This window comes from Homo sapiens, chromosome 20 (genome assembly GCF_000001405.40).
Source record: "Homo sapiens chromosome 20, GRCh38.p14 Primary Assembly".
Taxonomy (NCBI): Eukaryota; Metazoa; Chordata; class Mammalia; order Primates; family Hominidae; genus Homo; species Homo sapiens.
Window position 1 is genome coordinate 33,356,285 of NC_000020.11, and position 14,681 is coordinate 33,370,965.

At 44.1% G+C, this 14,681-nt stretch overlaps 1 protein-coding gene across 14 annotated transcripts in view; it reads right to left on the reverse strand.

Annotated features, from left to right (window-relative positions):
- Positions 1–2,554: 2,554 nt before the first annotated feature.
- Positions 2,555–14,681, reverse strand: part of CDK5RAP1 (CDK5RAP1 mitochondrial tRNA methylthiotransferase) — a 42,731-nt gene continuing 30,604 nt past the window's right edge. For 12 of the 14 annotated variants that reach the window (XM_011528856.4, XM_024451893.2, XM_011528857.3 and 9 more), the window contains 4 exons: positions 14,215–14,345; positions 10,575–10,724; positions 4,067–4,207; positions 2,555–2,839 (listed from right to left, as the gene is read on the reverse strand). In XM_011528856.4, coding sequence (XP_011527158.1) covers positions 2,759–2,839; positions 4,067–4,207; positions 10,575–10,724; positions 14,215–14,345 — 503 coding nt within the window. In that variant the 3' untranslated portion in view covers positions 2,555–2,758. Of the gene's footprint in view, positions 2,840–4,066; positions 4,208–10,574; positions 10,725–14,214; positions 14,346–14,681 lie in introns of those variants that run through there. The other 2 variants (NM_001278167.2, XM_047440195.1) reach the window with 2 other exon arrangements.

Consider the following 14,681-nt stretch of genomic DNA (forward strand, 5'->3'; position numbering starts at 1 on the left):
TCCTAATATACACAATCTGTTTGAGAAGTAAAATCTTTTGATGATCTCTCCCATTTGATAAGACCTTATAATGTTCCATGGACTGTGCTAAACTCTCTAGAAGCATGATTGTGTCACTGAATTCCACGTGAGATATGCATGTGATTATCTTCATGTTTCACATCAAAAAACCAAGCCAGGCTGGGCACAATGGCTCATGCCTGTAATCCCAGCATTTTGGGAGGCCGAGGCAGGCGGATCACTTGAAGTCAGGAAGGAGTTTGAGACCAGCCTGGCCAACACAGTGAAACTCTTTCTCTACTAAAAATAAAATAAAAAATTAGCTGGGCGTGGTGGCAGGCGCCTGTAATCCCAGCTACTTGGGAGGCTGAGGCAGGAGAGAATCGCTTGAACCCAGGAGGCAGAGGTTGCAGTGAGCCAAGATCGTGCCACTGCACTCCAGCCTGGGTGACAGAGCGAGGCTCCACCTCAAAAAAAAAAAAAAAAAAAAAAAAAAAACACACAAGACAGAGAAGAGGAGAAGAGTAAATTAACTACTCAATTTCAGACAACTCTCAAGCAATAAAGTGGGGATGTGAACCAAAGTCCTCTGACTCCAAAAATTCCATGCTACCATCTCTTGGATATTTTTTTCATGATACCCACAGAATGAAATAACCTTGGTGGTGAAGGGGGCTGAGAACCACTACTCGAAACCTACTAATAGGTCCAAGGGAAAAGAGACATAATTTTTTTAAAGCCTAAAAAGTAATGACATCTTTTTTTTTTTTTTTTTTTGAGACTGAGTTTCGCTCGTCGCCCAGGTTGGAGTGCAATGGCGCGATCTCGACTCACTGCAACCTCCACCTTTTGGGTTCAAGCTATTCTCCTGCCTCAGCCTCCCAAATTGCTGGGATTACAGGCACCCACCACGATGCCCAGCTAATTTTTTTTGTTATTTTTAGTACAGACAGTGTTTTGCCATGTTGGCAAGACTGGTCTTGAACTCCTGACCTCAGGTGATCCACCTGCCTCGGCCTCCCAAAGTGCTGGGATTACAGGCGTGAGCCACTGTGCCCCACCTGGTAATGACATTTTCTAAAACTCCAAGTGCTGTCAGACCTCACAGGCTGAAAAAGAGGTCCACTGGTGGCAAAGGCCAGGGAGGCTTTGGAGGGCAAGGAGGCTTCCAAGGAGGCAGAGGAGGAAGAAGAGACCACAGCTACAGGAAAGAAGATGAAGTTTGAAAAGCTTCTTCTATCCTTGTCTTTTCCTCTTCCATTTGAAAGGACTCGGGTTTTTACTCTGTGCCTGATCCATCACAGAGCCTTCTGAGGACATTCCAAGATTGTCTACAGTCCTGTGGTCCACTTGGAAATTCAGACAGATAATATTTCAAGGGGATAGTTGGTTTTGACTGAATACTCATGAAAACTTTTAAAGAAATGAGTGATAGAGCTAACCCATATCTGTAAGTTTTGATGGTTTTTCTTGTTTTTTATTTTTTTGAGAAAGGGTCTTGCTCTGTCACCCAGGCTAGGGTGTGGCGGTGTAATCGCGGCTCACTGCAGCCTCTATCTCCTGGGCTCAAGTGATCCTCCTGCCTCAGCCTCTCAAGTAGCTGGGACTACAAGGCCTGCACCACCACACCCAGCTAATTTTTTTTTTTTTCCTGTAAAGTCAGGAAACCTGCCACATTGCTCAGGTTGGTCTCCAACTCCTGGGCTCAAGCAATCCACGTGCCTCAGCCTCCCAAAGTGGTGGGATTACTGGTATGAGCCACCATCCCCAGCTTATGTTTTGAATTAATAGTTGTTTTTTTTTTTTTTTTTTTTTTTTTTGAGACGGAGTCTTGCTCTGTCCCCCAGGCTGGAGGGCAGTGGCATGACCTCAGCTCACTGCAGCCTCCACCTCCCAGGTTCAGTGATTCTCCTGCCTCACCCTCCTGAGTAGCTAGGACTACAGGTGCCTGCCACCATGCCCGGCTAACTTTTGGATTTTTCTTTAGCAGAGTCAGGGTTTCACCATGTTGACCAGGCTGGTCTTGATCTCCTGAGCTCAAGTGATCCACCCGCCTCAGGCTCCCAAAGTGCTGGGATTATAGGTGTGAGCCACCGCGCCCAGACAATATTGTTTCATCTCATGTAAGAAAACATTTTTTTCCAACAAATAATTTTTTTATGTTGGGGGTTGTAAAGGAAAGCAGAGTGTTTTATCAACTTTTTTGCTTGAGTGGCTTTAGAACAATTTAAAAGTCAACTTTGGTGCCAGATAAAAAGAGGTCCATGAGGGAAATCCTCAGGTAAAACATGCAAAATAAAGTGCAGCGATAGGCAGCTAAGTCAGTGGCATCCAATGCAAATGTCAGAAAGGTCGAGAGCAGTTTTCCCAAGCAAATGGTTCTCCCCACCTTCCTCTCCTTCAGTCTCTGCCTCCTAGGGCCCAGGGGAGAAAACCTGAGAGGGAGCAGTGTCCACAGGAGAAACTGGGTGGGGAAACACTTAACACAGACTGCAGGGAAAACTCCAGAAACACTAACCAAGGTAAAAACGAAGTCAAAGTGAGAGACAAAGGGTTAACCTTAGTTTAGGTAAATTTAATGACTGTAAAAGCTGTTCACATAGCAGCTTTAAAGAGACACGTTTTCCACTGACATAAAGTTGCTTCGCCCCTTGCAGCTTATCTCCACCTTCATGACCTGTTTCCTCAGTGGCAGGCAATGTCTCCCCTTCCTGTTGGGGAGGATTGCCCAAGTCAGCTCTGAGGCCATCCTCTCAGGTCAGCAATATGCAGAAGAGTCCCTCAGAGTGGTCCTGCAGAGAACATGTCCCCTAAGTGTCTGAGAACTGGCTGAGGTGATCTGAAAGAAAACCAGGCAGAAGAAGGCAAAATAACTAGGACTGTAGCACTGGGACTTCATGTGGAGCCTCTAGAGGAGAAGCCCCCAAAAGGAATCTGATGGAGGCGACCGGCTGGCAGAGACCACATGGCTCCTGTGTGCCCCCGATCCTGGCAGGAAGCGAGGTCTCATGGAATGGCAATGGATATAATTTAAGAAGTCAAAGCAGGTCAGTCCCAGCCACTTCTCCCTTTTCTCTTGGAAGATGGCTCCTCCTCAGCTCTAACCATAAAATTCAGGTGAAACTGCCCATCACAGGCCCTGCCCTCCTAACTCCAAGGCTGATCCAGTCAAATCCTTCCTTAGGATATTTACAGCCAACATTTGGTGAGAAATGTTCTCTCTCCTCCAATTGAGAGCTAAAAGAATGTGACCCCAAAGTTATCTGTGGTCACATGTCTTATCATAAGAGCAAGTCAGTCCATTAGTAAATCCTTACTAAGTACATATTTTGTACCCGGAATTGCCCTAGGTGCTAGAAGATAAACAAAGATAAACAAACAGAAACAAAACAGGCATTTTCCCTGCCCTTAAAGGAACTTCTGTGGATGCTCTAGGGCATCAGTCTGTGTCCTGCCAGCTTCTGGTTCTGAGGCGAAGCAGATATGAGAACAAGACAGGGAAGGTGGCAGTAGCAGAACTGGGCAGTGTGAGAAGAGAAGGCAGAAGAAAGGAAGAAATGGAAGGAGACAATAAGAGAAGCATATCGCCAGTGAAAGGGAGAAAGAAAGAGAGAAAGAAAGGGAGAGAAAATCCCACAGCCATATAGCTGATCTGTGAGTCCAGGGAAGAGACCCAAGAAACTCGAGCACATGTAAGTTAAAGAGGCCTGAGCCGTCAGAGATCACAAAGAAAATGTTGATCTCCAACAGGGAACACTCTCTACTCACTCGAAATCACTCCACCTCCTGGCCTCTCTGCAGCGAGAAACTACATGCCACTGCATACTCCAAACTCACCAAATTCCCACAAAGAACGCTTCCAGGGCAGGAGAATAGGTAAGAAGAATAAGAAGGCATTAGTAAGGAGCAGTCTAAAATCCAATCCAAAGTGCCCTTCCATTGTACTGGTTGAGAGGGGATTTTTATTTTACTAAAATGTGTCTCTAGGAAAAAACTTTATTACCACAAATATCCAAACCAACACTCATTTCACAGTGCAAGCCAAAAGCCCAAAAGGACTCCTCACCTTCACCAGCACATAGTCCCCAGGCTGGGCTCTGACCCTGAGCCCAGGGTTATTGACATCCTCCATCTCTGCATCAGGGAAGATCACCTTAAGGTTTCCATCATTCCTGCCACACAGGTCAGTGGCAGAGCGTTTACTGAGCTGCAGAAAGAAGAGAGAAGAGTTCGTGGATTTGTCACAGTTGTAAGTTCTTGGAGGGTAGAAACTGTGCCTTCTCTGTCTCGGATCCCCAAGAGTCTGACCCACAGAGCATTCCTTAACCAAGGAATCACTGAAGACTCAGTGTTTGCTGCTGCTTCACCAGCAAGGGCAGTGTATGGCCCACAACAGAAACACTGTAAAGTTTTGCTAACTATATTATAATGAATCAATTAATCAATAAGTCTGTGCAGAACTGCCTTCTGCAGGAATGGACCTCCAACAGGCCTAAAGCCAGAGACTTATGAGCGATGCATTTGGAAAACCAACTTTCACTTCACCCAGTCTCATACTAGTCACTTATGAATGAATGTTCTGGGATTGTTTGGCCTGCATTACTTGCCCTCACTGAATAGACAGACTGAAAGGCAGAATCTCCAACACAACACACAGAAGACAGAGCCAGGAAGATACTAACATCACTATGATGGGATTAACTTCTAGAGTCTACGGAAACCCTTCTCTTCCAGCCATGGTAAAGAGACAGAAACAAGTTTACCCTTCAGCCTTATAAATAATAACCAGCAAATTGGGTAAAATATATGAAACAACTGTTTTCGGATACTGGACAAGAGATCATACAAGACTGTGAGCTGTGAGAGAAGGAAAACAAAGTGAGCCCCCCAATCACCCCTGCTTTCTGCCAGAAGGTACATGCCAGACGGGAGCCTGTGAAGCAGGAGGGGAGAGCTCAAGCACAGCACAGTGGTCCTCCCCTGCACTGAAGAGAGAGGGATCAATGTTCAGGGAGACTGAAATAGTTAGAAACTGTGAAGCAAATTCTAGAGAGAAGGGAGCAAAGCGGAAAAAGAATTTCAGAAATATGCAGGGGGTCCTTATGAGTCTTCACTGAACACTAACACTTGCATGTGTAGCATAAAACTCCATGAAGTCAGGCAAAGAGAGTAACCTGGGAACTGTCCACTGAACAGTTCCCAGAACTCACATGTGGCCTGGAATCCACTACCAAATAGAAGAGTTTATGGATTTGTCACAGTCATAAGTTCTTGGAGGGTGGAAATTGTGCTCATCGGTTCCTTGGGATATATTCACTAGCAATTCCTGACAGAAGGCCACATCTTAGTAGTGAAACTAAACTATCCAGAGAATAAAAAAGTTTTTCTGGCCAGGCGCAGTGGCTCACGCCTGTTAATTCCAGCACTTTGGGAGGCTGAGGCGAGTGAATTACCTGAGGTCAGGAGTTTGAGACCAACCTGGACAACATGGCGAAACCCCGTCTCTACTGAAAACACAAAAATTAGCCGGGTGTGGTGGCGCACATCTGTAGTCCCAGTGACTCGGGAGACTGAGGCAGGAGAATCGCTTAAACCTGGGAGGCAGAGGTTGCAGTGAGCCGAGATCACGCCACTGCACTCCAGTGTGGGCAACAGAGTGAGCCTCAGTCTCAAAAAAAAAAAAAAAAAAAAGGAAGGAAGGGAGAGAGGGAGGGAACAATCTCTGTGACCTCTGGGACAATATCAAGTGGTGGGACATATGTGTAATTCAAGTACGGAAGTGGTGGAGGTGGGTGGAAGAGGAAGCGGAGCAAAAAAATCTGAAGAGTAACAGGTGAAATTTTTCCAGATTTGATGAAAACTATAACCCCAGAAACTAAAAAGCCTCAAAAAAATCCCAAAGAAAACACAAAGGGGTAAACACAAAGAAAACCACCCCCAGCCACATCAAATTCCTAAAAACAGTGATAAAGCAAAATCTTAAAAGCAGCCAAAGAAAATGGCATAGAGTAAAGAAGAATGACCACAAACCTGTCAGAATCACGTATGTCAGAAGTCAACAGAATGATATCTCCAAAATGTCAACCTAAAAGTCAACACTCGGTGAAAATATATTTTTAAAAGGAAGGTGAAATAAAGATCTTTTCAGACAAACAGAAGCTGAGCAGCATCACTGCCAAAAGACCTGCATTACAAGCAATGTTAAAGGAAGCCTTTCAAGCACAAACAAAACGATGCCCAGTGGAAACGTGAACGTACACAAGGGATGAAGAATGCCAGAAATAGTAAATCAGTGGGTAAATACAGACTTTCTCTCATTTTTTAAAGTTCCTTTAAAAGATAATTGTTTAAAGCAAAAATAACAATGATTTAGGGATACAAAAGTAAAACTCTGTAAAAATAGTACAAAAGGAGGAGGAAGGGACAGAAGTATATCATTACAAGAATCTTACATTATATACACTGAGTGAGTGGTACCCAGTTTGGGGTTAAAATAATGGGCCAAAGAGAATCCAAAGGGCACATAATCTGCCATTAGAAAATCAAGCTCTGACAACATGCTATATTCTTAAGTAATCAAAGACACAGAAAGGAGTTCAGTCTTTAAATGAATACCACTTTAGGGAAACAACCTTCAGCTGAGATTTAGAGGCTCTACTATTCCCTACAAAATACTTACTAGTTACAAAAGGAAAAAGAGTAACTTTACAGTCAAGAAGGCTGGCAGACAGTATCTTCCATGTTTTCAAAGTTAGCATCATCAGTAATGAGACAAATCAAAATTGTATGCCACCTCACAGGATATGATTAGAATACAACATCATCTCTCTGGTATTCCTGCCAAAGAATGCATAACCTGAATCTTATCATGAAAATACATCAAATTATGGACATTCTACAAAATAACTGGCCTGTAATCTTTAAGTGTCAAGGTCATGGAAGTCAAAGAAATAATGACGAACCATCCTAGACTAAAGGAGACTAGAGAGACATGACAGTTAAATGCAACATATGATACTAAACCAAATCCTTTTCCTATAAAGGACAGTTCGAAGACAACTGGAGGAAACTTACATGGGGTCTCAGGATTAGATGGTAGTAATCTAACAAGGTTAATTTCCTGATTTTCATAGTTGTACTACAGTTATCTAGGAGAATGTCCCTGTTTGTACAAGATACACATTACAGTATTTGGGGGTTTGGGGACATCAGGGCAGCAACTTACTCTGAAATGATTCAAGGGGAAAAAAAGTTCTTTATAATACACTTGGAACTTCTCTATGGGTTTGCAGTTGTTTTACAGTAATTTTTTTTTTAAAAAAAGAGAGTTCAGGCCACTGCAGTGGCTCATGCCTGTAATCCCAGAACTTTGGGAGGCTGAGGTAGGAGGATTGCATGAGGCAAGGAGTCTGAGACCAACCTGGGCAACAGAGCAAAACCCCATCTCTACAAAAAATTTGAAACATTAGCCAGGCGTGGTTGTACACATTATAGTACCAGCTACTCCGGAGGCTGAAGCAGGAGGGTCGCGTGAGCCCAAGGAGTTCAAGGTTACAGTGAGCTATCATTACACCACCACACTCCAGCCAGGGAGACAGAACGAGAGACTTTGTCTCAAAAAATATAAAAAATAAATAATAAAATCAATTAAATTGAGATTTCAGGTTCCATGATTTGAAAAAAACCAAGTGTAAAAGAACATTCATGAGACAAACAGGGAAATTAGAACACTGAGCAAATATTTGGTAATATTAAGAAAATTAGAAGTGCTTTGGAAATCTAAAAAGAATATTAAGACATTTTTGTCAATTATTGTCAGGTATGATAATAGCATTTTGTTTATAATTTTTTTAAAGTCCTTATCTTCTAGACATATATACTGAAATATTTACTGAAGAAATAGCTTTTTTTTTTTTTTTTTTGAGATGGAGTCTCGCTGTGTGACCCAGGCTGGAGTGCAGTGGCGCAATCTTGGCTCACTGCAACCTCTGCCTCCCAGGTTCAAGCAATTCTCTGCCTCAGCCTCCCAAAGTCACTGGGATTACAGGTGCCTGCCACCACACTTGGCTAATTTTTGTATTTTTAGTAGAGACGGGGTTTCACCATCTTGGCCAGGCTGGTCCTGAACTCCTGACCTCATGATCCACCTGCCTCAGCCTCCCAAAGTGATGGGATTACAGACGTGAGCCACCGCGCCTGGCCCGAAGAAGTATCTTATACTTGCTTTAAAATCACCCACCAGGAGCAGTGGAAATGAAACAAGATTAGTCAAGTATTGACAACTATTTTTTGGCTTTTTTTTTGTTTGAGACGGAGTTTCACTTTTGTTGCCCAGGCTAGAGTACAATGGCGCGATCTCGGCTCACCATAACCTCCGCCTCCCAGGTTCAAGCCATTCTCTTGCCTCAGCCTCCCGAGTAACTGGGATTACAGGCATGTGCCACCAAGCCCAGCTAATTTTGTATTTTTAGTAGAGACGGGGTTTCTCCATGTTGGTCAGGCTGGTCTCCAACTCCCGACCTCAGGTGATCCACCCGCCTCGGCCTTCCAAAGTGGTGGGATTCCAGGCATGAGCCACCGTGACCAGCCTCTTTTTTTTTTTTTTTGATACAGACTCTAGCTGTGTATTTTTTTTGATACAGACTCCAGGCTGGAGTAAGGTGGCACAATCTCATCTTACTGCACCCTCGACCTCCTGGATTCAAGCAATCTTCTCACATCAGCTTCCCAAGTAGCTGTGACTACAGGTGTGCACCACCACACCTGACTAATTTTTATTTTTTATTTAATTTGTAGAGATTAGGTTTCACCATGTTGCCTAAGCTGGTTTTGAACTCCTGGGCTCACGCAATCCTCCAGCCTTGGCCTTCCAAAGTGCTAGGATCACAGGCTTGAGCCACCATGCCCAGCAGTATTGACATTTGTTGAGGCTGGTTAATAGGTATGCCAGCATTCATTATACTATTCTCTATATGTTTTTTGTTGTTGTTTATTTGGGTTTTTTTGAAACAGAGTCTCACTCTGTTGCCCAGGCTGGAGTGCAATGGCCCGATCTCAGCTCACTGCAACCTCCGCCTCCCAGGTTCAAGCAATTCTCCCACCTCAGCCTCCTGAGTAGCTGGGACTACAGGTGTGCACCACCATACCCAACTAATTTTTGTATTTTTAGTAGAGACGGTGATTCACCATGTTGGCCAGACTGGTCTCGAACTCCTGACCTCAAGTGATCTACCCGCCTCGGCCCCCCAAAGTGCTGGGATTACAGGCACAAGCCACTGCGCCCAGCCTCTATGTTTAAAATTCTCTATAATGTAAAAAAAAAAAAAAAAAAAAAAAAAAAGGGCAGGGTGATTACAGACTCTGGAGAGAGAGCTGTATCTAATTCTGACTCTGCCACACACTAGCTGTGTAACCTTAGGGAAGTTATGCTCTGTCTCTGAGCTCAGTACCCTCATGCACAAAAGGGAGCTAGTAACAGCACCTTTCTCCAAGGACAGTGGTGGCACTCTGTGCTGATGGCCATAAAGTGCGCAGTTCCTGGCAGACGGTAAATGCTGAGGGATGTGAGCCATTATCATCTTTTCTGCCACTCTGGACATAGCAACTTGGTGTTTTAAACTGGCCATGTCTGGAGGAAAGAAAGTCTCCTCTAAGAGAAAGCAATGACTCCAACTGCTAGCCTTGAAAAACCCATTTATTCTCTAGCCCCAAGTAAGTAATGGCTATGTTGGATGAATAAGAAAGAGCTTTGTGGTCGAGAGCTGTGGCTCACACCTGTAATCCCAGCTCTTTGGGAGGCCAAGGTGGGTGGAACACCTGAGGTCAGGAGTTTGAGACCAGCCTGGACAACATGGTGAAATCCTGTCTCTACTAAAAATACAAAAATTAGCTGGGTGTGGTAGTGGGTGCCTGCAATCCCAGCTACTCTGGAGGCTGAGGCAGGAGAATTGCTTGAGCCTGGGAGACAGAGGTTGCAGTAAGCCAAGATCATGCCACTGCACTCCAGCCTAAGTGAAAGAGTGAGACTCCATCTCAAAAAAAAAAAAAAAAAAAAAGGCCGGGCACGGTGGCTCATGCCCGTAATCCTAGCACTTTGGGAGGCTGAGGTGGGTGGATAACTTTGAGACCAGCCTGGCCAACATGATGAAACCCCGTCTCTACTAAAAAAAATACAAAAATTAGCCAGGCATGGTGACACACACCTGTAATCCCAGCTACTCGGGAGGCAGAGGCAAGAGAATCGCTTGAACCTGGGAAGCAGAGGTTGCAGTGGGCCGAGACTGTGCCACTGCACTCCAGCCTGGTCAAAAGAGCGAGACTCCGTCTCAAAAAAAGAAAAGAAATACTTAGGTGTAAATCTAACAAAACATGGACAAAATCTGTATACTGAAAACTACAAAAACTTTGATTTAAAACATCAGCCTGTAGTCCCACCTACTTGGGAGGCTGAGGCAGGAGAATCACTTGAGCCCAGCAGTTTGAGTCCAGCCTAGGCAACATAATGAGGAAAAAAATCAAAGATCTAATGTTCTGAAACATAAAAAACAACATAACACACACACATATGGCCTCACCCCTTCCACTAGCACCAACTGGGTACAGCCCACAGAGGTCTGATTGGCTTTTGTTGCTTCTTCTCGGAAGATAGTGATGAGTTCCTCCAAACGCCTTAATTTTACCTCTTCCGGGACATCATCCTTCAGCCTATGATATGCCCGTGTCTTCTATTAAAAAAAAAAAAAAGAGAGAAGATGGAGGTCACCAAGGACTTGTAGAATCTATTCTTAATGCACAGAGGGCGACCATGTTCATTCTACCTACAAGTAACAGACACATGTACAGAAACCCAAGCCAGAGGCAAGAGGTTTCTCTGGCTCTGGGAGCATTCCAAGATAAAAAGGTAGTGGAGTCATATTTTTGCAAGGGTTAAATTCTAAATTTAGCACATGAAAATCATAGACTCAAAATTACTCTTGATATTTATCCTAACGTTACACTTGTACATATACCAAATGACTCACATATACTAGGTTACTCAGCAGTACTATTTATGAAGACATAAGATGCAATGCAGCCTAAATATTTCAATAGGCAAGTAGTCACAGAAATTATGGTTTATCTATACAATGGAATATTGTGCGGCTGTTAAACAGAATGATAGTTCTATATGTACTAATGTGGATTGTTCTCCAAAATCTACTGTTACTTGAAATAAGCAAAGTGCAGATCAACACATGTAACTTTAGTGTAGACAGAATACATACAGGCATGCTTATAAACACACGAAATATGCCCAGAAAGTTACAAAAGAAATTGCTAAGTGGTTGCCTTCAGGGAAGGAACTAAAAAAACTAGGCAACCTGGGAAGAAGGAAGAACCACTCATGTACAGCACTTAACCTTTTGAATTTTATTCAAGCATGTATTACCTAGTCCAAAAGAAAAAAGGGAATTTATCCTTAAAACACCTTTAAATCATCCAAAACCACAGTGTGTATTATATCTTTATGACATGAGCTCATGCTCAGTACAGCTGGAGAACCACTGAGCTAGACAAAAATATGGAATAAAAGGAATATCTATATACCAAAGTTTGGACATTCAAACCAATCTACCTTGAAGAGAAGTATCCACGGAGGAAAACGGAGAATCCTAAAAATATTGCAGAGTTTACTCCATTCTGTCTTACTACTAACAACAATAACTTACCTCTGTTGTGCATTTACTATGCATGAAACACAATTATAACTGCTTTAAACATATTATCTTACTTAATCCCCAGAACAACCCTATGAGGTTGGTACCAATGTTGGAAACCAAGACATTTGCCCAATGTCACGTAGTTATTAAGCAGCAGAGGCACAATTTGAGTGCTTGCTCTCATCCACTAGGTTCTTGATTAAGTTCCTATAACCTTAACCCTTAGGAATTAGGTCCCAAAGTGAACATTCATATTCACTGACCATAAGATGCTTCTGCCACAAGCTGAAAACCCATTTCCCATCCCTAGGATTTTTTTTTCTTTTTTGAGACAGGGTCTCATTCTGTTGCCAAACCGGAGTGCAGTGGCACAATCTTGGATCACCACAGTTTCAACCTCCCAGGCTCAAGTGATCCTCCGACTTCAGCCTCCCAAATAGCTGGGATCACAGGCATGTGCCACCACTCTCGGCTAATTTTTTTTTTTTTTTTTTTTTTTTTTTTTGGTAGAGAAGGGTCTCCCTATGTTACCCAGGTTGGTCTCAAACTCCTGGGCTTAAGTGGTCCTCCCACCTCTACCAATCCTAGTATTAAAAAGAATTTCTCAGGCCGGGCACAGTGGCTCATGCCTGTAATCCCAGCACTTTGGGAGGCCAAGGTGGTGGATCACCTGAGGTCAGGAGTTTGAGACCCACCTGACCAACATGGAGAAACCCCATCTCTACTAAAAATACAAAATTAGCCAGGCGTGGTGGCACATGCCTATAATCCCAGCTACTCGGGAGGCTGAGGCAGGAGAAAAACTTGAACCCGGAAGGTGGAGGTTGTGGTGAGCTGAGATCGTGCCATTGCACTTCAGCCTGGGCAACAAGAGCGAGACTCCGTCTCAAAAAATAAAAAAAAAGAATTTCTCTTGGGAGGCTGAGGTGGGTGGATCACAAGGTCGAGAGATCAAGACCATCCTGGCCAACATGGTAAAACCCTGTCTCTACTAAAAAATACAAAAATTAGCCAGGTGTGGTGGCACGCACCAGTAATCCCAGCTACTCGGGAGGCTGAGGCAGGAGGATTGCTTGAACCTGGAAGGTGGAGGTTGCTGTGAGCCAAGATCATGCCACTGCCCTCCAGCCTGGTGACAGAGCGAGACTCTGTCTCAAAAAAAAAAAGAATTTCTCTGGCATATTTGTGATGTCCATGGAAAAGAAGCAAAATAGAAGGGGCCAGGCACAGTGGCTCACACCTGTAATCCCAGCACTTTGGGAGGCCGAGGCGGGCAGATCACGAGGTCAGGAGATTGAGACCATCCTGGCTAATGCGGTGAAACCCCGTCTCTACTAAAAATACAAAAAATTAGCCGGGCATGGTGGCGGGTGCCTGTAGTCCCAGCTACTCGGGAGGCTGAGGCAGGAGAATGGCATGAACCCGGGAGGCAGAGCTTGCAGTGAGTCGAGATTGCGCAACTGCACTCCAGCCTGGGCAACAGAGCGAGACTGAGACTCCGCCTCAAAAAAAAAAAGAAGCAAAACAGAAACTAACAGCTCCTCTGAAGCTTCATCTCTCCAAAACACTAAAAGATACATGAATATGATACATACATTGGCACAGTTACGCTGCCCACAGAACACTACGCAGTGGCTTTAAAATGAATTAGTTGAGGTGTCATGACTCACGCCTGTCATCTCAGCACTTTGAGAGAGCGTGGTGAAAGGACTGCCTGAGCCAGGAGTTTGAGACCAACCTGGACAGCATAGAAAGATACTGCCTCTTAAAAAAACAAAAAAATTAGTTTGGTTGATGGCAGCTCAGTAACAATGACAATAAAGTCATGGGTTCAGTCGTTTGTCAGCCAGCTTTTCTGAGCCCCCTGGCCACAGGGGGCCTTCAACCTCCTGCCCAAACACAAGCACATTGCCACAAAGGTGACTGAGGGAATGAGGAGTGAACCGTGCAAATCCATGCCTACAATCAAGAAAATGACAGCCAACCAGGACTATCCTTCTCTTCAGGAAAAGTGCACTAATCTCTCCTTCTTTCCTAATCTCCTTCTGCTTTGCCTGGGAATCTGCTTTGTTTCCTGGGAAGCCTCCAAGTGAGTTCACTTGCCTAGGAAAACAGAAGTTAGGAATCACTGAGGATGGCTGGGAAGATGACCAGGGGCCCCGGTAAAATAAATCACATCTGCAGACCAAAAAGGAGTTCTGCATGTTAAGAAACAATTTTAGGTTTCTCGTAAAGAAAAGGTTTTCTCCTTCCATATTCAAATTGCAAACAATCTAAACATAATTTTAAAATATTTTAATGAGGAATACTGGCACAGTAATCATGTATCATCAAATTGCTGAACCGTTTCAGAGTAGACAGAGTGTACTAGAAAAATGAACGGAAGTGAATCGTAAGAGCCTGTGGTTTCTCAAGGACTGCCTTGCCGCCACTCTCTTTTCTGCCCTGTTCTCTACAGTCACCACCCCCAAACTGGTCAGGAATGATGTCAGTCCTCCCCAACCCCAGGGCTCACCTGTCTCATGCTGTAGGCAAAGAGGAAGCCCATGTTGTACTGAACTTCCCGGAGCAAAGAGACTGTCTGGACGTGATCTTCCTCCGTCTCACCACAAAAGCCAGCAATGAAATCGCTGCTGAGGCTCACACCTGTGATACACAGCAAAGGATGACAGGTGACTGCCTGCTGTTTACCTTCAAGGGAGGCCTTCAGCATATGTGGATTACAAGGGAGGGATAGCAACTGTAAGGTCCTCCCTAGGACTATTCATAAGTAAAACAAAATAGTACAGAGTAAGGCGGGATAGGCCTGTTCACCCACAGCATTCCATGACAGAGATCAGCTTCTTGGCCTACATTTCCCCTAAGCACTAGAAAAGGTATTTCCACTTCCAATGCTGCATTTAGGGACACAGTAGGGAGTCCACATTTTCATATCAGTCCTCTTACCAGTGAAAACCTTGTGGTGCTTCATACAAAAATATA